Source organism: Homo sapiens, chromosome 11 (genome assembly GCF_000001405.40).
Source record: "Homo sapiens chromosome 11, GRCh38.p14 Primary Assembly".
In the NCBI taxonomy this organism is placed as follows: Eukaryota; Metazoa; Chordata; class Mammalia; order Primates; family Hominidae; genus Homo; species Homo sapiens.
This window is the reverse complement of record NC_000011.10, coordinates 88,772,873-88,799,582: the sequence shown is the minus strand read 5'-3', so window position 1 is coordinate 88,799,582 and position 26,710 is coordinate 88,772,873. Positions and strand designations below refer to the sequence as shown.

General features: G+C 36.3%; 1 protein-coding gene across 4 annotated transcripts in view, besides 1 other annotated feature; it reads left to right on the top strand.

Moving 5' to 3' along the window:
* Window positions 1-26,710, top strand: part of GRM5 (glutamate metabotropic receptor 5) — a 561,341-nt gene that overhangs the window by 266,400 nt on the left and 268,231 nt on the right. The gene's annotated exons all lie outside the window — the stretch shown is intronic.
* Window positions 10,430-10,931: an enhancer, noted in NCBI's record as "NANOG hESC enhancer chr11:88521820-88522321 (GRCh37/hg19 assembly coordinates)". NCBI's record gives its function as "activates a minimal SCP1, AML or CMV promoter by ChIP-STARR-seq in primed H9 embryonic stem cells {active_cell/tissue: H9 hESC(primed)}" and the evidence as "EXISTENCE:reporter gene assay evidence [ECO:0000049][PMID:30033119]".

Genomic DNA, 26,710 nt, shown 5'->3' with positions numbered 1-26,710 from the left:
TTCTACTTCTTTGTATTATTTATTTCATTGTCTACTTATCCATATTATATATAACTCCACTGCACTCATAATAAAACATAATTTGTTCATATGCTTCAAAAATTTCCATGCACTCACATACCTATATCAAAATGCATCACATGTATAATAATGTGCCTAATTCTCTTGAAGTATACATATATAGATAGTTACAAAAAATGATATTAATACTGTATATACTGTTTTATAGTCCCTAACTTAACTATTGTTGATAAATTGCTATGTTAAACGGTTAGCTTTAAATCTTCATTTTTAATGTGTTTAATCTTTTTTAAGGTTCTGCTGTAAGTTATTTAGAAAATTAATGCAAATCTAATTTTCATAATTATAAGCAGCAATTCAATGAAAATTCTCATATAAAAATATGTGAACATTTTCTTAGTAGCTTTTAAGAGAAATTTCTAAAAGTGCCAAATACTTTTTAAGTTGAAGGCCATGTACTTTTTAGAACTCTTTATGCGTATTATAAAATTTCCCTTCAAAAGGGCACAAGAGTTTCTGTTTTTCACATCTTTACTAACTTTGGATACTAAACAGAGATTTATTTATGAAAACAAAAGCTTTTATTTTTTCTTTATACCTTTTTAATTTAACATACATCTAGATCTAGCTTAGAACAGGTGCCAAGGTTTCATGCTTTACTCCTTTTGAGTCTTCCCTGGATTGTCATATAAAATAAGCTCCACTGTTGCAGTTTTTTTTTGTTGTTGTTGTTGTTTTTTTTTTTTTTTTTTTTTTGGTGTTTTCATTAGGTAGCAAAGAGTAGAGAAACACTCATGACTTTGACTCAGTGTCAGGGATTTCAATCCCAGCTTTCTCTCAAATGCTCCTATCCACAAAACAACAATTATGACCGTGATAAATAACTTTTACAACACCACAGGCTTTCCAAAAACATACATATTTATTTTCTCTTTATTTTCCAGACCAATATCGTTAAACCTGGGGAAAATACATAACTTTTAAACTTAATGATGTGAGATGAAGATGGTTGCTCTTTGTCCTGCCTTGATCGCTGCCCCACATTCACCAGCTTTTCATTTAAGACCTTTTCTTAAAATAAGCCTTGTAGAATTTCCTTGATGTATTATAAAGTCCCATTTATTCATTCTACAAAAGTGTTTTCTGTGTAATATACTGAACTTAGGGTCAAGAATTTCCAGCAACAAATACAGTGCTTTACACATAGCAAATATTTAATAAAAGTTTTGGGACTGATAGATGAAAGATTAATTGGACATAGTGCCTGCCCTCAAGGCATTTTTCAGACAAATGAAGAGGATGGGAGAAAAAAAATTGAACGATATTGTCATATCCAATGATAACATTGATTGAAATCAAAGCTAAATATCACTCAACACTGATTAGGTAAAAGAGAACATGTAGTCTCAGAAAGATAATTTCCATTAGAAATTGATACTTGACCTGGGACTTAAGGAAAAAAGAGGAGTTTGCTATTTGCTAAGAGAAAGGAGAAAGAGCAGACAGGAGAGCATGAGATTCCAGTCAGTGAGAGAGAAGCATGGGATGAAGGAAACATTATAATATGCATGGAAGGAAAAATCAGCATGGTATTTTACCATGTGTCATGATACTCATGACATATTAAGAGTTATTATTTTCTATGTTTATTCTTAGCTCCCCAACTAAATATAAAGGGAGGTGAGGCAAGAGAGAGAGAGGAAGAGATCAAGATCCATAATGCTTTTTTTTTTTAACAACAGCAATTCATGAAAATGTTTAAAGGGATGCAGTAAATAATATATTCAAAATCTAGATAGAAATAATCAAAAACCCATCTTAATTATCTTATACCAAAATAGGATCCTATATTGTGACAGGTAAGAGAATCCAACAAATTTAGAACCTATTTTAAAAAGCAAAAGAAAGAAGAGATTATTAGCATTGTAAAATTAGTGATGCTGGACTTACTAAATTCTAGTTTCTGCTGCTTACAGTGTCTTAGTATCATCTCAAGCAAATTAGAATAATTTAATAGTAAGATTATTTGTGCTATTGCTTAGGTCATTTAAGATATGCTTATTATATCTGGCATTTTCTCAGGATTTTTTTAAGTGGGTTTATAATTAAAAACCCAATCTTGGGCTGGGCACAGTGGCTTACGCCTATAATCCCAGCACTTTGGGAGGCCGAGGCGGATGGATCAGGAGGTCAGGAGTTCAAGACCAGCCTGATCAACATGGTGAAACTCCGTCTCTACTAAAAATTAGCGGAGCGTGGTGGTGCATGCCTGTAAACCCAGCTACTTGGGAGGCTGAGTCAGGAGAATCTCTTGAACCCAGGAGGCGGAGGTTGCAGTGAGCCGAGATTGCACCACTGCACTCCAGCCTGGGTGACAGAGCAAGACTCTGTCTCTAAAAAAACAAAAACAAAAAACAAAACAAACAACAACAACAAGTAAAAGAATCCAGTCTTCTCATGTTGAACACCTAGATTTTGCAGAGATGATATCAATGTTTGTACAGTCTCTGAAACTAATTTTGTATACATTAATTCAACAGCAAACATTTCCTGTTTGTCCACTCTGTACTAAGAAATTATCCAGGTTCTAAGAGTGTAATAAAACTATGCTTGTTTCTGTACACACACACACACACACACACACACACACACACACACACACGTGTGTGTGTGTGTACTTTCCTTTCATCTAGGTAATCACAAAAAGAAATACAGGCACCTGTTTCTTTCCACATCTTCCCTAGAGAACAATATTGCTTCATGATCTTCACAGAAGTCAACTTGTGACAAAGAATTATGTAAAGATCCTAAGATCCTAAGATCTCAAGAGCATTTTTATCAGTTTATGAAGTTCAAATCATTTTAGCCTATTTATAAGACATATATAATGCAGGATCCATGGCAGATATGACTTCCCATGCTTAATGAAAATCAGTCATGAAAATATCATGGCACTTAAAAAATAATTGCATTCCTTACCATTTGTTCCTGGCTTTTTTATCATAAATCTTCACAGAAGTAACCATACAGAATTGAAGTCAAATATTATGTTCTGATCTAATCTTCAATAAGTCATGTGGTGAGTGTCATATGTATATTTTAAATTATGTCTTTTGTAAAATTTAAAAGAAAAGACACTTTTTATAAAAATTTAATTCACTTATTCAGCATACATTATTAAGGATCTTTTATTCCAAACAGCATACTAGGACCCAGAAGTATGGTATTAAATAAGATAGTATTTTCTATTAAAAAGGTGTTTAAGAGTTATTTGAAATTGATGATTCATAGGAACAAAAATATAACAGAATGCTAATTGCTGGAAACAGTTCAAATACTGACCTTGCTTTGCTTTCATTAGCTAACCACATGGCTGATTCCTTGAAACACATTGTGTCCATGGATCTTGTCTCTCCCACTACTTATTTTAAATTACGTTGGAAATGCAAGTGGTCCTGAAGATCAGTAATAGTGTTTATGCTAGCAGTAATAGTACACTAGGCAATTTAATTATATCCTTCAGAAGACTTTTCTGAACCAATTAGTTGAACCCATTTTCTCTGAGTAATTCATTGTAGTCTATTTCAAATTACTAATACGTTTCATTAAATAAGTAACAATCCAGATGATTAGCTAATTGTTTTTCTTTTTTTATCAAGAAAGCTTCTAAAATGTCTCTCCAGGGCTCTCCTACACAATAGGGACATATGCAACTATTAAACTCGTTGTTTTCTCAGGCTAAGGGATCCACTATGATACCCACATTAGCAATATGGCAAAATGGTTATGAACATAGGCTGAATTCTGGGACTCAGTTCAGCTGCTTACTACAGAAATGATTTTTGGCAAATTATACAGCCTCTTTAAGCCTTCATTTATGCATATGTAAAATGGAGAGTGCTAATAATATCTCATTGATAGGGTTGTCATGATATCTTGAACACTCATCACAGAAGCTTGCATTAAAAAATCTGTTCAATATTGTAGGTATTATTGTTATTATTAACAGTAATTAGTTATTTCTAATGGCTTCACAGATACCTTCAAATGGAAAGCAATCCTTTCACTATTATATTTGCCCTTCCCTAGTATATGATCCATCCTAGTAGAGTATCTTTGTTCATGGTCAACTTATTTTCCCTTCTCTTCCAACTGCATAGTCCACTTCAAGCCTTTCCTTTATGATGTCTTTGAGGTAGTCACAACACTGGCTCCTTGGCCTTGGGTAGCCACTATTATGTAGCATGGAGGTCACTGGGCTGTGAATCTGAAACTGGATCAGAATCTGTAACCAGCTGTACAACTTTGGCCAAGTTGCCTGCCCCTCTCTGGGATACTGCTTTCTCGCTTGTGAATTAAAGGCCCTTTCAGTTCCATATGCCCTAATATTTGTAGAACTTCTACATGTGGAGATCTCAATCCCTCTCAATATAGTCTCATGTTCATATAATGGGAATTCTACCATTTTTCTACATGTTCTAGCTCTGATTGTTAAAATATTCTTGTTTGTTCTTATCTGAAATTTCTGTAAGTTCTACTTATTGCATTTTGGTCTTTCATTGGAGGCACACAGTGGAAATTCTTTCTTATGTAATAGATCGTGAAGGATGGTAATCACACCATATCAGAGATCTCTGGGCTTTACAGCCATAGCTATCTTAGCTATTTTTTTGCACTAACTGGTCTCATGAAGAACATTGGATGCTATGTGTAGCCCATCTAGGAGGAAGATTTATTATGAAATGTACTATTTGGCCTAATTCTTTATCCAAGCAGACAAAGTAACCATAATAACCCTCCAGTAACAGGATATGATGCTTCACCTTAACACTCGTTCATCATCATCTTCTTTATTGCTCAGGTTTGAAGCTATTTAATATCAAATACATATACTTTATTTTCAAGTTCCATTAAACTTACCTCCATGATGCTCCTCACATCCATGCCCATGGACTCACCTTACTTTATGTTCCTAACATGTCAACTGGAATAGATTTCTAACTGATCATTTTGCCTCTAGTATTTCCACCTTGATTCATCCTCTAAATGTCTAACAGAATATTTTTTTAAAAAATAAAAACACATAATTTATTCAAAGTATGTGGTCTGACTGTAACCCAATTTTTCAGGCTGACTACACTCTCACAGATCTGCCAGGGAATTTTAAGCCATGGTAAATAATTCAGATTGATAAGAACAAAAAGTGTCCACAGAATGGTGTTACAGAGGAAAGTGAAATAACTCATATTACTAGAAACATTTTAATTTAGTGCAAATAGTGGCTTGAACATGGGGTAACATTAGAGGCAGGTAGACCATTCAGGAGGTTATTGCACTAGTCCAGGTGAGAGATGCTGGTCCCCTGAAGCAGAATAGTGGGGACGGGAATGCTTAAGAACATGCATGTTCCAGGTATATTAAGGATTCCAAACCATTATATTAATTATCTCTCACCTTCAATCCCAGCAATTTTCGAGGCTAAAGGCTGAGGCAGGCAGATTGCTTTAGGCCAGGAATTCAAGACCAGCCTGAGAAACATAAAGAGATCCTTGTCTGTATATAAAATTAGCCAGGCATAGTGGTGTGTGCCTGTAGTCAGTCCCAGCTACTCAGGAGGCTGAGACAGGAGGACCACAGGAGCCCAGCAGGTTGAAGTGTCACTGAGCTGTGATCACACCACTACACTTTAGCCACGGTGACAGAGCAAGACCTGTCTCTACAAAAACAAACAAACGAACAAACAAAAAAAACAGTCTTCTCTGTTGTTTCCTTTCCCAACCTATCCCTGCTTCTTTCAGATCCTTCTTTCTTACTTAACTTCTTGAGTGCTTCCTGACTCCCGTATTGGCCCTCCCAGTAGGTTTGTTCTGAAACTATTATAGTTCTGGAAAATTATGTAATGACTATATCATAAAATATAAGCTTTACTGAGAATCCCAGAAACACATCTTAATTTTTATATCCACATTAGGAATGTTATTCTTAGATCTAATTAAAATTCTTCCCAATACTATTATTTCTATTTCTGTGTCTTATAAAAAGAAGAACCTTCCTCAGAATATGCAAAAATATACCATATCTTAAATGCCAGATTGATACTACGGTTCTACCATCAATGAGTTATTCCCATGTTTTTAAACCTGAGGTCCAGAAATACCTAGCAGTCCTTAGATGTTCACTATAAAATCCATTAATTCTCTCGAATTATATGTCAAATTTTTATATATGTGTAAATCTGGAAAGCACATAGCTTATACCACAGGTTAAAATTAATTGAAACAATGAAAAAATACAGTTCATATATATGCTTTCTTGTTCCTATAGAAATCCCTACCTTAGGTTTAAGTTTGGGCTAGATTATATATTTAAGTGCTGTTGTGCTTTCAGTTAGGATTGATATGAGTTATTCAGTTAGGTGGCAACTGCTCTGTAATACATATCATCAATTTGGAGATAAGAGTCTGAACAGAAGGGTATAATCTGTAACTATAAGAATGCATAGTGATCATAAACATAAGGCTAGTGCTATACTCTAAATAGTATCAGAAATAGATCATGATGATGCATATTACAAGGCCCGTCTTACTCTAAATAGTATCAGAAATAGTCTCTAAATAGTATCAAAAATAGATCATGCCCATCTTACATGGGCCACAAGGCCCATCTTACATGTTTAAAACTTTGTAATTTTTAAATATTTTTCAATAATACTTGCACATATTCTAAGCGTATGTAAATACAAATGGTTATGGTATAATTTCATTAAAAAAACACTAATAATTGGTTTAAGAAAAGACAATTTAAAAAGCAGTATTTCACCTCAGAACCATGTCTTATAGTTTTCATACCCCTTCCCAAATACCTCAGTATGTTGGGTGGGACACACAATATGTGCAGACTAAATATTGATTGAGTTGTATAGAAAAATTCCCATCTTTAAGATAACTTTTTTTACAATGGAGAAGTAAGCTGGAGCTTTATCAGACCAATCTCTAGAAATATCCCCTAGTTGTAATGTTACTGTCATTTCTTTGATACTAGAAATAATAGGAGTCCTGTCATAAACATGTTTTGCTTTTTGAACACAGTATGTTAATGGAAACCCATAAAAAGAGTAGTTTTCTTGGTCACCACATTACCACATATGTTTAGCTTTTTGTTTTTTCTATTTAGAGATTGGGCACCAAAGATGCTAATTCTGGCCTATAAATAGCCCAAATTAGAACAATAGAATAAATGTCCTAAGTTCCTCATAACTGATATTGCCCAGGTAAGATTCATACATGCAGACTCATCTGTGCATGAAATGGACTCTTTCTAGAGCAATAATATCTATGAGATATTTTCAGGCCCCTACTAAGAAAACAGGGCTATTGATTTTAGTGTAAAGCCCAACTTTCTAATGCCACTACAATATTTTTTTAAAAAACTAGGTTGTTGGTAATAAAATTGGGTGCTGAGATGAAATAACCTAAAGAGTGAGTCTTATTCCTGGGATTCCATATTCTGACTAACATGCTCTCCCAACTTGCTTTGGTTTCAAAACATGTTCTACTACCTAGCTTTTACATTGACCTAGGTAGTACACTGATCAATGCCATAAAATCCATTTTACTCTTTTTTCAGCTAAGCTAAAATGGGATGTTACAAATTATTAAATAAGAAATTAATGACATAAAAGCCCAGTGAAAACCAAATGAATTTACAGAATACAAGGTAAACACTGATTAAATGAAAGAATATAAACCTCTAACTAGAAGTCAAACATGATTTAGAATTGATTTCATTTCAATACTGATTATGCCACAAACTTGTATGCTTTTAAAATATTGATAGAGTATCTTAAAATAATTTAAATGTCCTTTATTTAATAGCACTTGCCCCATATACTTCAGTATATATTGTAATGTTGGTCATTTGTCATGTATTCATATTTTATATTCTAGAATATATAATAGAAACAAAAAGGGCTGTCCTTGTCCAAGTTATCAAGTTATCAATGAAATTTCCATTTATTGCATCCTTATTATGTGTCAGGAGACTTGCATCTATTAGTTTTCTAATCAAGGGAGGTTGGAAGTGGGTGATAGTATCAGTTCAACATTAGCAGTAGCAGCTCAGCATTTGCTGAAGGTTCAGTCTTTATGTGTGGAGTTGAGAATAAAGAGTAAACAAGACAAAGTTGCTCTTCTCAAGCATCTTATGTTTTCCTAAATGTATGTTTTCAACTCACAATTCTCTCCTAACGTATTCACCTGCATATTCAGCTGCTTATATGACATTTCCAGTGCATTTTTCGTAAGCATCTCAAACCCAGCCAGTGCATTATCTTACCATTGCCACTTCCTCCTGTCCTCCTGGTTTAAGTCTTGAAAACAATGAGAGTAGATATAATCTTCTCTTACAACTTTATCCCTAAATTTTAATTAAGGAATAAATCCTGTTCATGCTACTGGTTTAACTTCTTTCCTATGTGTTCATTCCTCTGCGTTCACACTGTCACTGTTTGCAGACTTTTGTAATTTCTTACCATTCCAATTGTCTAGTATTTTCTGTTTCCATTTCCTCTCCTGTGCTTGCAATTCATCTTCCACATTGCTGCCAGTGATCTTTCTAAAATTTAATTCTAACTGTTATAAATTTCCAGAGGCTCCCCATTGCCTGCAAGATAAAGTTCAAATTATTTGTCATTGCATTTGCAGCCCATCATATGCTAGCCGTTGCCTTCCTTTCTAAACTTATCTTCTACTGTGTTCATTTTTACTCCTAAATGCTCCAGATTTACCTTTCCAAACTACAGTATATCGTGATATTTCCTACTTTCAAACCATTACCTCTGTTGCCTAAGATACCCTACCCCTTGTCCTTATTCCTGATTTGTACTTCATGCTTTTTCTCTTCCATTCTAGGCATCCTGTCCTCTCCTACTATCCTGAGAGTTGATCTATCTGTCACATACATCGAGCCTCATATATTTATTTTTTAAATTAGTTATCATACCTTCTCTCCTAGTACTATTCTATATATTAAAAAAGAAGAGTTTCCTGCTTCATCTGAAGTTGTAACACTCACATGGTAAAATTTTTCATAGAACAAATATTTCCAGCCAAAGTTGCTGTTATGGAGTATCTTTAAAATTAATTCATGCATAGTTTTTAAAAATTAATTTGCTTATTCAGCAAATACAAGCAAGACAGAATTATGTTACTCAAGTCAAAGTTTGATGGGAAAAACAAACACAGAGATTGATAAACACTGTGCAGTGTGTGATGTTCTGTGTTTGTAAATAATATGACTCATACATTATGAATGAATTAATGGGTAGATAGAAGAAAATATGGATTTAGAGCAAAAATAGCATACAGGATATGGGAGAATTCTTAGAAGTTGCTTGTACGAGCCAGGTGCAGTGGTTCATGCTTGTAATCCCAGCACTTTGGGAGGCTGAGGAGGGTGGATCATCTGAAGTCAGGAATTGAAGGCCAGCCTGGCCAACATGGCAAAATCCCATCTCTATTAAAAATACAAAAATTTGCCAGGCGTGGTGTTGCATGCCTGTAATCTCCCAGCTGCCAGCTACTTGGGAGACTGAGGCAGGAAAACTGCTTGAACCCGGGAGGCAGAGGTTGCAGTGAGCTAAGATTGCGCCACTGCCCTCCAGCCTGGGCAACAGAGTGGGACTCCATATCAAAAAAAGAAAAAAAAAATTTGCCTTGTACATTGTAGATGTTCAATAAATATTTGTTGAATTTTAGGAAGCTGCAAGTACATTAATATTGGTACAGCATATAATTTACCGTAAGAATAAGTGGAAGGAAAGGTCATTTGGACTGGTTAACTTCATATTCACTAGCTATTCTGTAGGCTTTGGAATGCCACTGGTGTGTGGTTTGAGGAGTTAGAAAATTTCCTTTGCATTTTTAATATGGTACCACAAGGGAATAATCAAGAGACTTCTATCATTCTAAAAGATAAGGTTCATAAAAGGATTTTAGGAATGTTTATAAATTCTCTGAGTATTAAAAATATCAAAAATGGCTAAATACAGTGTACTTGAACAAAAAATGTTCAATTTATAACAAAAATGAAAATCATTATATATTAGCAGGTACATTAACTTACAGATAAGCCTTACCGAAATAATTCATTCTTAAATTTTCACTTAAAGTTTTCTTCTCTTTCTTTTTTTCTTTTTTCTTTTTTTTCTTTGCTTTTATGTTATTTAAATGGAACTTGGCCTCCAGACCTTGACAATTGATCTCATCACCCACAATTTCCTTCTTGTTAAAGGTATTATCCTCTACTTTGTGGATTGCCATTCACCTGTCACTCACAGATTAAATGATTATAGGCAAAAGGAACTCTAACAATTATTTCACTCATATCCAGATGCTGGAATTGGAGACCAGGGAAGAACTAGCTTTCCTAAGTTCATATCTGGGTCTGGTTTAGAACACGATTCTCCTAATTTTTAGCCTAGTGATCTTTCCTGTAACTATATTAACATTATTGGTCCAAAAAGATCTTAGCTTTTCTTCCAGGATTACTCACCTTCCTTAAGAATACATTCCCCAAGAGGACAATGAGAACATTGCTGCCCTCTAAAATAACAATGGTTCATGGTAAAGGAGGCACAGAATCTCTATCAAACTGTCAATTGAGGAGGCGTTCATCCTTCACCTAGGATTTCACACGTTTTCTTGCCTATGAAAAGTTTTATCTAACTACTCACATCTTCCACTTAATGTATTTTGGAAAATAGCTTTCCATATACAATTTAATAGCCCCCTTTCTAGTTTCCCTAGCAACTGACAGAATTTTGAAAACAGCATAGTTTCTTTAAACAGAATTGGAAATTAAGAAGCATTTATGTTTTAATCTACTTCCATCAGATAGTCACATTTCTAAATATCTCAAATATTTTAACATATTTTTAGTAATATATCCTTACAACTTTTAGAGCCAAGTTGGACTATGTTTCTGTTCTCAATTAGAAGAGATGTCATGTGAAATATATACCCTGTGGAATAAAATATAAAATGATAATTTCAATACTTTTGGTAAATGGAATTATTGGATAACAATATGATCTGCTTGTTCATAAAAATTCTTCCTACCATCCCATTTTTTTCCATGTGCTTTAACACCTCACATGGCCCATGGCTTCCTTTGACTTTATTCCCGCTGTTTTCCAATCCCTCTCAGGATCCCTGAGTCTAAAATTTTTCATATTTCCTCTTACAATATTACTATTATGATTGATCTGCTTTGTTTCTTCTAAAAATACACCACCTAGCTTATTGTGTTATATCCAAAGGGTTTGTCAGGTCTATTTTCAAAATGAAGTAAAATATTTTTGAAAAGTTATTCTGGAGCTAACAATTTATATGCAATGGCCTGTTCTGATCTAAGGAGCAAAGAAGAATAAGGAGATGTTCCTCCCAAAGCTAGAGTGCCCAGTGTGTCTAGCTGGTAAGCCCAGCAGGATATAAAGAGAGTAGTCTTTCAGGGCAACATTTATAAAACAACCATTTTGCCAACTGCTGACCTAGGGACGAATACAGTAAAATATCTTCCCTTGGGAAATTCATTGTATAATGATGAAGACAGGCATAGATCTAGCCTATGTATTGACCTGCCTACGTGACATCTCCACTTGGATATCACATAAGCCTTTCAAACTTAACATATCCAGAAAGAAACCAAATTTCTATCCCTTTTTTATCCCTTTTTCCCCATTCATTTCCCTACATTCCCTATCTCAATAAATGATATTATTTTATTACCAAAGCCAGAAAATGAAGACTTGTTTTTCCTCTCTCTCTTTTCTTTACCTCCTAAATGCAATCCAACACCTAATGATCTATCCTTAAAGTCAATCTTAAACATATCCATGCATCACCATCATTAATATTCTTAACCCAAATCATGGGATCTCACCTGGATGGCTATAAGAGCCTCCTATTATTCCAGTTCCATTCTTGTCACAGTCCTATTCACGCACTACACAGGATCTTTAAAAGAGAAGACTCTTTAAAATCTATAGGAAATCATGCCATTTCCCCAATTAAAATCATTTGATACTTTCCAAAAACTCTTCAAATAAATCCAAATGCCTTATCATGTCTCCTACAACCTTGTATGGTGTGGCCTCCACCAATAACCCTTGCTCATTCCACTGTCTTCCACATCCTCTCCTTTTTAATTTTTGTGATATAAAAAAATTTCATTTCTTTCCTGCCCTGGATATTTTTTAACAGTTACTCCATCCTCTGCTTTGAATAGTACTGACCTCTGCTCACCAACTCTATAAATGAGTGATGCTTGGATGTCGGATCTCAGCTTATCTCTTCAGAGGGGCATTTTCTGATTGTCCTGGTTTAAAAGACACACACACACACACACACACACACACACACACACACACACATCATATCATATATCATATTTTTAAATAAAGATATCTGCTTGTTTTGTTCATTCTATTAACTACAATCTGTAATTAGTACATTTTATTTACTTATTTACTTGTATACTGTCAGTCTTTTCCACCTAACAGCCATCTTCAAAGGGCATCTGAAACATTATAAAAACTTACTGTGTATTCTGAATAATACATACATTATTTCAGTTTTAAATCATTCTACAAACATTTATAGATTGCCTCTTATGTGCCAGAAGCTCTTCTTGTCCCAGAGTCCAGCAATTAGCAAAACGAACAGAAGCCCCTGTCTTCATGAAGCTCATATTTAAGTGGAGCGAGGAAAGGGGATAGATAATAGACACAGAAAGGTATGTAACGTAAAAAAATAAATAAAGCAGGAAAGGGGCATCAAAAAAGTGTCTGTGGGAATGATGTTTTAAAATAAGGTAGTCAGGAATGTCCTTAATGAGAAGATGATATGTGAGAAGACTTAAAGATGGGGCAGGGGGAGCCATGTTGGTACCTATGGAAAGAGCTCTCCAGGTTGAGGGCACAGCAAGAACAAAAGCTCAGAAGTAGAACATGTTCCACACATTGCGCAAGTAGCAAAGAGTCTAGTTGGCTGAGATGAGTTGAAAGAGATGAGTTCAAAAAGCTAAAGAGAGTAGATTGGTTAATGTAAGAACTATAAGCACTTTGGCTTTTGGAAGCTTTCAGAGGATTTGTGATGTTAGCTAATTATATCAAGTCATGGCAAAGCAATGCATTAAGAATTCTTTGAGCTCAGAGGTACCACCTCAAATTCATTCTGGGTGGTGCAAGGGAGCAATGTCAACAATGACTTATTGGAGAAAATTATAGCTGAGATGAAATGACTCTTACCTATCAAATTCCTATTCACATTCAGAACACATGCCCAGTGTTACCTCCATCACCTGCTGCTACGTCTTATGGATAGTTCCATTTCACTATGTTGTATGTTTATCATCTATTTCTCAGATCACAATTCTCTTTGTACTAGGGACCATGTCATATTCATGTACCTGGCACAGTGTATGACAAATATTTGATATCTCTTGGACACATGAGTATAAAAGCAGAGAACAGAAAATGTATGCTTCCCCTTGGTAGTTCTGAACTAGCAGATTTTTACACTAAGTGAATGGGCATCCTATCTAATGTGTCAATATATGAATAGGTAACATTTATTGTCTTTGGAACCTGAGCAAAGCAGGAAAGTGCTCTTACACATCAAGTATCAGCTTGTTTTCTTTCCAGTAGTTTACTTTCCACCCTGCCTGAAGATAAATGGTGCATAGTCACTACTATTGTTGCTAACCATGTCAAAAATGGTAACATATGGATACTCTTTCTTAACTTCTTTAATTATAGAATGTTCAATAAAAATTTGAGGCTTCACTTCATCAGTCACAACAGAGTTTTCCTAAAATTTGCAAATACCTGTAGTAGAAATGACTAACTAGGCCAAAGAACTGAATGCTTTGACTGCATGATGTTGTGTCTCCGAGGATAATACATCATCTTCTATCATGTTTTTAACATCGTAAGTACACAAATATTCTTAGATATGATTGTTCATCTGCCTAATTATTTTAACTATAGATGTTTTGAGGTCATAAGTAATGGGACAAAAATCTTTATTTCATCTTTTTCAATTTATTCTTTGAACAACTTACGTCCATTTCTTCTTGATCTATTCATCTCCAAATCAAGTTTCAGTACAAACTAGCCTTTCTTCTTTAAAACGTAAAAAAGCATTTGGAGAGGAAGATCATGCCCACTACATTTAGAAATTTACCAGAATAACTACCAAAACAGAAAGAATGAAATTCTGCCAAAGTATGTAATTAGTTCTCAAAACTATTTATTTGAAGGCCACTAATTGTAAGGGAACTTAACTGCAATTTTAATGTTACTAAGTAACCAAACGCTTACTGTGGGATCATTTCAGTTGAGATAGAAAGATAATCCCATACACTCCACCTCCACTGACAAGCCTCTGCAGAATACATTTGGAATACTTTAAGAGGTCTGTTTAATTCTAGTAATTGAAATGTCCTGCGGTTTTAGTGTGTTCGTTAACATAGTGTGCTAAACTGAATATAAAATTTTATACCGCAACATCTCTTGGGAATGATTTCAAAATGTTGGCTAAATTCAGCTCTTAGTCTATGATTTATATGTCATATAGAGAGCTGTAAATATATTTCATGATAAATTTACAAGAAGAGATTATGTGATGGATAGAACAGTTAAACATTTGCAACATGTGACCAGAGATTAACATTCCCAAAGACGGGCAGCCCTGTATCTGCTAATCGGGTTTATGGACTTGCTTTTATTTTGTAATTCTATAGGGAGAAATGAAATCCTGCATTTATGGAATCATGTTTTAAAAGCCTTCATTTCCTAATCCCTCAGTTACCTTCATTTATAAAATGAATAATTTCTACCCATTACAACACAGTATTTATTCAATAGAATGGGAAGGGATAGAATACACCGATGAAGAACACAGGCTTTGCAGTCTGTGTTCTAGCCAGTCAATCTCTAACACAGCTCTTCAACATCAGGTCCTTTACTTAGCCTTGTGAGCCTTATTTTATTCCTTTATATTAAGTGGTGGGTGATACTTATCAAAGAAAATTACTTGCATGATTAAATATGATTTGTATTCAAAGCACTTAGTGTAATATGTGGCACAGAAGTATGTGTAAACTCAGTGAGAAGAGTGTATTGATCAGTTATTCCTATGGTGGGCACATAAGTGGAGAATAGGAAAAGTGTGCTTCCTACTGGTATTTCTGAACTAGCAGATTTTCACTCTAAGATATTGAAAATCTCATCTAATGGATCAGTATATAATTAGGTCACATTGCATTGTCTTTGACATCTCAGCAGAATATGAGGCTGCTGCCTAACACAAACAAGATACATGCTTGTTTTATTTCCAGTAGTTATTTTCTAACCTACCTGCTACTAAAAGATTTCCTAGAGGACAGAATATGGAAGATAAATTATGGCCATGGTGGTATAGTGGTAAATGTATAAAAATTGAGCTTAATTTTTAGCATCATTAGAAGCTGGGAAGAAATTAATGTAATCGGCTCCTATAAGCTGGTATGAGGCTGTCATCAGTACTCCACTGATAATGGGGAATTATTTTTTCTTCTTTGTACAGAAGGACTCACTGCTAGCAGATTTATGGGATCAAAAGATGGAATGTTTCCTATGTGCCAGTGTATAGATGCTTTGCAGGTACTAACCTATATAATCCTCCTAAAACCCTGAAAAGTAGGTATTTTCATTCATTTTCATAAGAGAACTAATGCTAAGATGTTTTCTAAGTGCATACAAAAAAGTAAGACACAGAAGTGCCCTTTTGAGTCATTCATATATCATCTGTGCCTCAGTCACATGGATGTTCTAGCATCCAAGATGAGTATGGGTAGAGTTGCCTTCATTTTCCAGAGAGAGAGAGGGAGAAAACAAAACATTTGAATTAAAAGTGAAACTCTTGGAAAATCATGGTTATTGTTTAATAGACCTAACTATACAATATGGTTGCTGCTCAAACTATGACATTTGCTTCTATTGTTTCCCTTGTCGTTGCATTTATTCCAATTACAGCTCTGACACACCTACCTACCTGCATTATTATTTGTTTCTTTTTAGTGTGCTAGTGCCTGTAAAATTTTAAATAGCCATCTTGTATGTGATAAATAACATCTAGAGTGATAAAATATTATTTCACAGAAGTTCAATGATAATGTATATGGACAGTGAGGAAGATACCCAAAATTTAGTGTTTGATTGTTTACAGGATTCTAAAGATTCAGGTCTGACTATAATTCATAAATCATTTGAACACAAGTCCTTTATGTTGAGTTTGATTTGAAGATGTCCCAAAATTACTGTAAGAGGGGATAGTTAAACCCCTAAGATTATGGGAAAATGTTTTCTCTCCCTTTTAAAAGTGTAGACACAAACAAAATGTTTAGGAAATAATTGATTTAAATACCACCAGTTAGCACAGTAATGTAGAGTCCAGCCTTTAAGTCAGGCGGACTTTAGTTCTGGATCTAGTTTTGCCACAATCTAGCATGGTGATCCTTAGCAAATAGCTTAATCTCCAAACTTCAATTGTCATCTGTCAGAAGGAAACAATATTAATTTTTAACTAATACATTTGTTGCCGGGATAAAAGTAAATAATATCTGTGAAGGGCTTAGCACTCGGCTTGGCATATATAGTGAGTGGTCCATGAATGAGTTCAGCCATTATCACTATTGATGTTTCCTCTGAAACCTGCCAGAACAACAACCCGTCAGCTTTGGACCATGTGAATTGATATTTTAATTATTTGGGAATTATATTCACAGAGACAATTTTTCTTCCATAACATGGTGAAACCTAAAGCTTTCCAATTTTCAAAGAACAGAGACTTAAAGCTTCATTTATAACAGGGACAATCTTAAATAAGCCAATATATATAAGGTGATATGGAAGTTTATGTCAAAAAAATATGCAATTAGTAAAAGTTACCCATTGATATGGTTTGACTGTGTCCCCACCCAAATCTCATCATGAATTCCCATGTGTTGTGGAAGGGACCCCGTGGGAGGTGATTGAATCACAAGGGCAGGTCTTTGCTATGCTTTTCTTGTGACAGTGAATAAGTCTTATGGGATCTGATGGTTTTAAAAATGGGAGTTTCCCTGCACAAGCTCTCTTTTCGCCTGCTGTCACCCATGTAAGATGTGACTTGCTCCTCCTTGCTTTCTGCCATTATTGTGAGGCTTCCCTAGACACGTGGAACTGTAAGTCCATTACACCTATTTCTTTTGTAAATTGCCCAGTCTCAAGTACATCTTTATCAGCAGTGTGAAAACAGACTAATACAGCAATTATTATTATTATTGTTATTATTATCACTGCTACTTCTAGAAGAATTGTCATTTTCTTATTAGAAATTCATGTTTTAAAAGCTTTTGTAAAAAAATTAGATTTAATAATATACATATTAATAAATACCATGCAATACAGTAACAAAGTCTGTAGAGAATCCAAATTATAATAAAAATTATAATTTTATGAATCACAATACTTTTCAATGAATAAATGCAAAATTTACACCCAAGAAGGATAGCATGTGAGGAATGCTTGGAAATCAAGTGTGTGAATTCACTACTGTGTTAATGTGATTCTCAGTCACCCACTGTCATGCAGCAATGCTGTGGGCAGCCCCATTGCTTGTAATTCTTCTGCTCAGCATGGGATCTCAGCTTTGTTGGCTTGTCAGTTTCAACAGGTGTCATTTAGCAAAGAAATGATTTAATCCATGATGCTAGTTTCCCTGAGGTGGCCAGAGGAGATTGTGGTCAGCACATTAATGTCTTCCTGCTTTGTTCATGCTTAGCAGGAATGCAGGAACTCTTCAAAAAGTCACAGAGCAGCAGAACAAGCTAACTACTTGCCTTACAAATGGACCTGCTGGATGCAACCAGGGAACCATTTGTGAGAATCAAATGTATTTATGATGACTGGAATCATAGCCAGGACAATCAGCCTGCCTGGAAATTCTGAGCAAAGTACTGCACCGTGCCTTTGCCTCCTTTAAGTGTACATCCAGACATAAATATGGGCATAGAGGTCTGAATACAGTAGTTTGGGTCCTGAATATATCTTTGAACAAATGAAAGATGTGTACCTGTATAATTAGGATGCTTGAATGTATCTTGTGAGGTCCATCTCCATTTATGTAGTGTTTCCAGTTCTTTGCTGCTGATTCTCAGAGCATATTTTAATACTCTTTAGAGTCAGACATGCCCAGTTATGATAATCACATACATGCGTCTTACAGATGTTGAATTTTCTCTTTCCCTTCATTCTTATTTTCTTAAACACTTCCTCTCCCACATGCTCTTCAAAATAAGCCTCTGCACAAAAGGATACACCAAATATATACATATATATATATATATATATACATATATATGTATATATATAAAACACAGCTTGGTTGCTTCTCTATTGTCTAATTTATGTGTTTTTCCAGCTCTATATGCCATATGTACAGTTACTAAGAAAGACTAGGATCAGCCTGAGGTTATTTTCAATAAGTTTAAAGATTTCTTAGTGGAAAAAAAAAGCCATGTTTAATGACTACAGAAATGAAATGTATGAATAGATCAAAGGAGGATGCAAATTTGTCTCACACTTGAGAGCTGTTCCCCTTGGTAATTGGAATTTGCTTCTGAGAAGTTATACTGAACACTTTTTCAATAGGAAAAATATACAGGGTCTGGCATGGTGGCTCGTGACTGTAATTCCAGCACTTTGGGAGGCTGATGTAGGGGGCCAGAAGTTTGAGACCAGCCTGGGCAACATAGTGAGACCCCCATCTTTACAACATTTTTTAATAAAAATAATGAATAAATAAATATACAGATACCCCTGAAATGTAAATTAATACTTGCCAACTTTCATGGACATTTTGTTTGTACCCTCAAATATATTATCTGAATTAACTTTCATCTGAATATTACCTGATTTACTTTTATCTGTAAAGCTCTGAAGTGTTCAGTACTATTATTATCCCCATTTTTCAGTTGAGAAGATTGACTCACCCACAAGCTAAGGTACTCTCCCAACATCATAAAACGTAACGGCAGCTTGATCAGCCTTATATAGGGAGGCTAAGAAGAGGAGTGTTAAGTCATGACTATAAACTCATGTTCTCAACCATCTATAATGGGAGTTAGAAATAAATGAATAAGCACTTGTTGCATTTATAAATATTTTAGAAATTTTCAAAGATGCCCCAATGGAAGTAATACAGGAAATTGTTTATTAGAAAAAAGCAGCACAGTGTAGTATAAAGCAGCCCAGCATAATATTTAAGGGCATTCCAGCAGGGAAGACAGCTATTAAGGATATGATTGTACAATTAATTGTTATCATTGTAAGTGCCACAAGGAAAACAGGATACCATGAGAGCCTATTAAAAGAAGACCTCCCTCATCTGTGCAGGTCAGGAAGGGATTCTGCAGAAGAGTTGAGATCTGAAAAATTAGTCAGACTTAGCCAAAGAGGGCATGGGGAGAACATTCCAGGCACAGGGCATAGCTCTGGATTCTGAGGAGATTAAAGAAAAACAAAATGACTGGAACATAGTGAACAAGAGGGAGATGGGGCACTAATCCAGGAAAAAGGAATGGGACCAGTGACTAGGGCAGTTGCCATGACAAAGAACAAGGGAAGGATGCAAGAAACATCATGGAGTTGGAATTCACCGACCTTAGCAACAGTGTTGATGTACGAGGTGAAAATGGATCATTTGAATCAGATGATTTCTGGTGTTTGCTTTTCGGTGACTAAGAATCCAAATAAGGAAAAATTTTAGCTGCAATATAGAACTTAGGAGGAGGAGCAGCAGCTCCAAGGGTGATGAATCTCCTGTATAGCTCTGTGCGTGGGTGGGTATGAGGGTGTGTGTGTGAGTATATTAATTTCTTTAATTCTGAAATTAGAAAACTTTGATGTCATTTCCTCTTGTTTCTGAAAGAGCACAGAAAAAAATTCTGTTATTGAAATTTTCAGATAATTGGGGGTTTGCTAAACAGCAGGAAAACTGAGCACTTATCTAGACTCGACGGTGCTCCTTCCTCCTTAACTTCTGTTGCAGTATGATCCTCTAAACCCAGCGGAGTCTGATGTATTCCAGGCACCAGAGGAAAAAAATATGAGAGATTCTTATTTTCTTTAGAGCAAATATTACCATGCTAGGTTCTGCCAGATGAAGAATTGAAGGAATATCAACTTCTTACTAATCCCAAACAGCTGTGAAAGGCTAAATAATCCTTACAGGGTTCCTATTGACAGCTGTAGCAGCTTACACAAATAACTTCATGTGTTCAGAAGCAGTTGAGAACAGTGGAGAGAACACAAGCTTTAGAACAAGAACCCCATTTAAATACTATGTTTACCACATTCTGATTAATGTGGTTGCTTAAGCAAATTGCTCTCTGAGCATCAGGTTCTTCATCTATAAAAGATTTTTGTGAGAATTAAACTCAATAATAAATTATGTAAGCTATTTATTATACAAATTGCAGCACTGGTCTACATGGCATAAGCACTCAATAAATGGTAGCTCATTTTATTTAACCCAGAAGGGCAGTAGGCCAAGATCTTCCTTGAGTAGAAAACAGTGAAAATGTTATGTAAAATGTATTTGAACTTCATGAAGCCTAAGTGAAAATTTTCTTAGTGATAGATAACTTGAAAAAACTCTTCTCCCCAGTTAAATAGAGAAACATTTTTGTTTAAAAATATCCAGATCACTTAAAGACAGGACCTGGCACTGATCATAAGTTCTCTGGGCCATAGGTTCTTTCTTTACATAAAAAGCAACTTAGACTAGACCAATGTTGTCTAATAAAACTATAGTGTGAGAGGACTCAAATATAAGCCAATTCATAGTTTTAAGTATTTTAATAACAACATAAAAATGAAGAGCAGTGGGCATTCCAAGATGGCCAAATAGGAACAGCTCCAGTCTGCATCTCCTAATGTGATCGATGCAGAAGACGGGTGATTTCTGCATTTCCAACTGAAGTGCCTGGTTGATCTCACTGGGACTGGTTGGACAGTGGGTGCAGCCCACAGAGGGTGAGCCAAAGCAGGGTGGGGCATCACCTCACCTGGGAAGCGCAAGGGGTTGGGGGATTTCCCTTTCCTAGCAAAGGGAAGCCGTGACAGACTATGTGGAAAAACGGGACACTCCTGCCAAAATACTGTGCTTTTCCCAAGGTCTTAACAACCGGCAGACAAGGTGATTCTCTCCCATGCCTGGCTAAGCAGGTCGCACGCCCATGGAGCCTTGCTCCCTGCTAGCACATCAGTCTGAGATCACTCTGCCAGGCTGTAGCCTGGCTGGGGGAGGGGTGTCGCCATTGATGAGGCTTGAGTAGGTAAACAGAGTGGCCAAGGAAGCTCCAAATGGGCGGAGCCCATCACAGGTCAACAAGGCCTACTGCCTCTAGACTCCATCTCGGTGGGCAGGGCATAGCTGAACAAAAGGCAGCAGACAATTTCTGCAGACTTAAACGTCCCTGTCTGACAGCTCTGAAGAGAGCGGTGTTCTCCTAGCATGGCATTTGAGCTCTGAGAATGGACAGACTGCCTCCTTAAGTGGGTCCCTGACCCCTGTGTAGCCTAACTGGGAGATATCTCCAAGTAGGGGCCGACAGGTACCTCATATAGGTGGCTGCTCCTCTGAAACGAAGCTTCCAGAGGAAGGATCAGGCAGCAATATTTGCTGTTCTGCAATATTCTCTGTTCTGCAGCCTCCACTGGTGATACCCAGGCAAATGGGGTATGGAGTGAAACTCCAGCAAACTCCAACTGACCTGCAGCTGAGGGACCTGACTGTTAGAAGGAAAACTAACAAACACAAAGAAATAGCATCAACATCAACAAAAAGGTAATCTACACCAAACCCCATCTGTAGGTCACCAACATCAAAGACCAAAGGTAGATAAAACCACAAAGATGGGGAGAAACTGGAGCAGAAAAGCTGAAAATTCTAAAAATCAGAGTGCCCCTTCTCCAAAGGATTGCAGCTCCTTGCCAGCAATGGAACAAAGCTGGACATAGAATGACTTTGACGATTTGACAGAAGTAGGCTGCAGAAGGTTGGTAATAACAAATTTCTCCAAGCTAAAGAAGGATGCTGAACCCACTGCAAGGAAGCTAAAAACCTTGAAAAAAGATAAGATGAATGGCTAGCTAGAATAAACAGCATAGAGAAGACCTTAAATGACCTGATGGAGCTGGAAACCATGGCATGAGAACTACGTGATGCATGCATAAGCTTCAATAGCTGATTCAATCAGGTGGAAGAAACGGTATCAATGATTGAAGATCAAATTAATGAAATAAAGCGAGAAGACAAGGTTAGAGAAGGAGTAAAAAGAAATGAACAAAGCCTCCAAGAACTATGGGACTATGTGAAAAGACCAAATCTACGTTTGATTGGTGTACCTGAAAGTGAGGGGGAGAATGGAACCAAGTTGGAAAACACTCTTCAGGATATTATCCAGGAGAACTTCCCCAACCTAGCAAGGCAGGACAACATTCAAATTCAAGAAATACAGAGAACACCACAAATATTCTCCTCAAGAAGAGCAACCCCAAGACACATAATTGTCAGATTTGCCAAGGTTGAAATGAAGGAAAAAGTGTTAAGGGCAGACAGAGAGAAAGGTCAAGTTACCCACAAAGGGAAGCCCATCAGACTAACAGCAGATCTCTCAGCAGAAACCCTACAAGCCAGAAGAGAGTGGGGGCCAATATTCAACATTCTTAAAGAAAAGAATTTTCAACCCGGAATTTAATATCCAGCCAAACTAAGCTTCATAAGTGAAGGAGAAATAAAATCCTCTACAGAGAAGCAAATGCTGAGAGATATTGTCACCACCAGGCCTGCGTTACAAGAGCTCCCGCAGGAAGCACTAAACATGGAAAGAAACAACCAGTACAAGCCACTGCAAAAATGTGCCAAATTGTAAAGACCATCGATGCTATGAAGAAACTGCATCAATTAATGGGCAAAATAAACCAGCTAGCATCATAATGACCAGACCAAATTCACATATAACAATATTAACCTTAAATGTAAATGGTCTAAATGCCCCAATTAAAAGATACAGACTGTCAAATTGGATAGAGTCAAGACCCATCAGTGTGCTGTAGGCAGGAGACCCATCTCACATGCAAAGACACACACAGGCTCAAAATAAAGGGATGGAGGAAGATCTACCAAACAAATGGAAAGCAAAAAAAACAGGGGTTGCAATCCTATTCTATGATAAAACAGACTTTAAACCCACAAAGATCAAAGGAGACAAAGAAGGCCATTACATAATGGTAAAGGGATCAATTCAACAAGAAGAGCTAACTATCCTAAATATATATGCACCCAATACAGGAGCACCCAGATTCATAAAGCAAGTCCTTAGAGACCTAGAAAGAGACTTAGACTCCCACACAATGATAATGGGAGACTTTAACACCCCACTGTCAATATTAGACAGATCAACAAGACAGAAGGTTAACAAGGATATCCAGGACCTGAACTCAGCTCTGAAACAAGCAGACCTAATAGACATCTACAGAACTCTCTACCCGAAATCAACTGAATACACAGTCTTCTCAGCAACACATTGCACTTATTCTAAGATTGACCACATAATTGGAAGTAAATCACTCCTCAGCAAATGTAAAAAAGCAGAAATCACAACAAACTGTCTCTCAGACCACAGTGCAATCAAATTAGTACTCAGGATTAATAAACTCACTCAAAACTGCTCAACTACATGGAAACTGAACAACTTGCTCCTGAATGACTACTGGGTAAATAACGAAATGAAGGCAAAAATAAAGATGTTCTTTGAAACCAATGAGAACAAAGACACAACATACCAGAATCTCTGGGACACATTTAATGCAGTATGTAGAGGGAAATTTATAGCACTAAATGCCCACAAGAGAAAGCAGGAAAGATCTAAAATTGACACCCTAACATCACAATTAAAAGAACTAGAGAAGCAAGAGCAAACACATTCAAAAGCTAGCAGAAGGCAAGAAATAACTAAGATCAGAGCAGAACTGAAGGAGATAGACACGCAAAAAAACCCTTCAAAAAATCAATGAATGCAGGAGCCGGTTTTTTGAAAAGATCAACAAAATTGATAGACTGCTAGGAAGACAAGTAAAGGAGAAAAGAGAAGAATCAAATAGATGCAATAAAAAATGATAAAGGGGATATCACCACTGATCCCACAGAAATACAAACTACCATCAGAGAATACTATAAACCCCTCTATGCAAATAAACTAGAAAATCTAGAAGAAATGGATAAATTCCTGGACGCATACACGCTCCCAAGACTAAACCAGGAAGAAGTTGAATCTCTGAATAGACCAATAACAGGCTCAGAAATTGAGGCAATAATGAATAGCCTACCAACCAAAAAAAGTCCAGGACCAGAAGGATTCACAGCCGAATTCTACAATGAGGAGCTGGTACCATTCCTTCTGAAACTATTCCAATCAATAGAAAAAGAGGGAATCCTCCCTAACTAACTCATTTTATGAGGCCAGCATCATCCTGATACCAAAGCCTGGCAGAGACACAACAACAAAAGAGAATTTTAGACCAATATCCCTGATGAACATCAATGCAAAAATCCTCAATAAAATACTGGCAAACTGAATCCAGCAGCACATCAAAAAGCTTATCCACCACGATCAAGTTGGCTTCATCCCTGAGATGCAAGGCTGCTTCAACATACGCAATAAACCTAATCCATCACATGAACAGAACCAAGGACAAAAACCACATGATTATCTCAATAGATGCAGAAAAGACCTTCATCAAAATTCAACAGCCCTTCAGGCTAAAAACTCTCAGTAAACTAGGTATTGATGGAACGTATCTCAAAATAATAAGAGCTATTTATGACAAACCCACAGCCAATGTCATACTGAATGAGCAAAAACTGTAAGCATTCCCTTTGAAAACCGACATAAGACAGGGATGCCCTCTCTCACCACTCCTATTCAGCATGGTGTTGGAAGTTCTGGCCAGGGCAATCAGGCAAGAGAAAGAAATAAAGGGTATTCAATTAGGAAATGAGGAAGTCAAATTGTTCCTGTTTGCAGATGACATGATTGTATGTTTAGAAAACCCTATTGTCTCAGCCCAAAATCTCCTTAAGCTGATAAGCAACTTCAGCAAAGTCTCAGGATACAAAATCAATGTGCAAAAATCACAGCATTCCCCTACACCATGAAGACAAACAGAGAGCCAAATCATGTGTGAACTCCCATTCACAGTTGCTACAAAGGGAATAAAATGCCTAGGAATCCAACTTACAAGGGATGTGAAGGACCTCCTCAAGGAAAACTACAAACCACTGCTCAATGAAATAAAAGAGGACATGAACAAATGGAGAAACTTTCCATGCTCATGGATAGGAAAAATCAATATTGTGAAAATTGCCATACTGCCCAAAGTAATTTATAGATTCAATGCCATCCCCATCAAGCTTCCAATGACTTTCTTCACAGAATTGGAAGAAACTACTTTAAAGTTCATATGGAACCAAAAAAGAGCCTTCATTGCCAAGATAATACTAAGCAAAAAGAACAAAGCTAGAGGCATCATGCTACCTGACTTCAAAGTATATTACAAGGCTACAGTAACCAAAACAGCATGGTACTGGTACCAAAACAGATGTATAGACCAATGGAACAGAATAGAGGCCTCAGAAATAATACCATACATCTACAACCATCTGATTTTTGACAAACCTGATAAAAACAAGAAATGGGGAAAGGATTCCCTATTTAATAAATGGTGCTGGGAAAGCTGGCTAGCCATATGTAGAAAGCTGAAACTGGATCCCTTCCTTACACCTTATACAAAAATTAATTCAAGATGGATTAAAGACATAAATGTTAGACCTAAAACCATAAAAACCCTAGAAGAAAACCTAGGCATTACCATTCAGGACATAGGCATGGGCAAGGGTTTCATGACTAAAACACCAAAAGCAATGGCAACAAAAGCCAAAATAGACAAATGGCATCTAATTAAACTAAAGAGCTTCTGCATGACAAAAGAAACTATCATCAGAGTGAACAGGCAACCTACAGAATAGGAGAAAATTTTTGCAATCTACCCACCTGACGAAGGGCTAATATCCAGAATCTACAAAGAACTCAAACAAATTTACAAGAAAAAAAACAGCCACATCAAAAAGTGGACAAAGGATATGAACAGACAGACACTTCTCAAAAGAAGACATCTATGCAGCCAACAGACACATGAAAAAATGCTCATCATCACTGGCCATCAGAGAAATGCAAATCAAAACCACAATGAGATACCATCTCATGCCAGTTAGAATGGCAATCATTAAAAAGTCAGGAAACAACAGGTGCTGGAGAGGATGTGGAGAAATAGGAATGCTTTTACACTGTTGGTGGGAGTGTAAATTAGTTCCACCATTGTGGAAGACAGTGTGGTGATTCCTCAAGGATCTAGAACTAGAGTTATCATTTGACCCAGCAATCCCATTACTGGGTATATACCCAAAGGATTATAAATCATGCTGCTATAAAGACACATGCACACATATGTTTATTGCGGCACCATTCACAATAGCAAAGACTT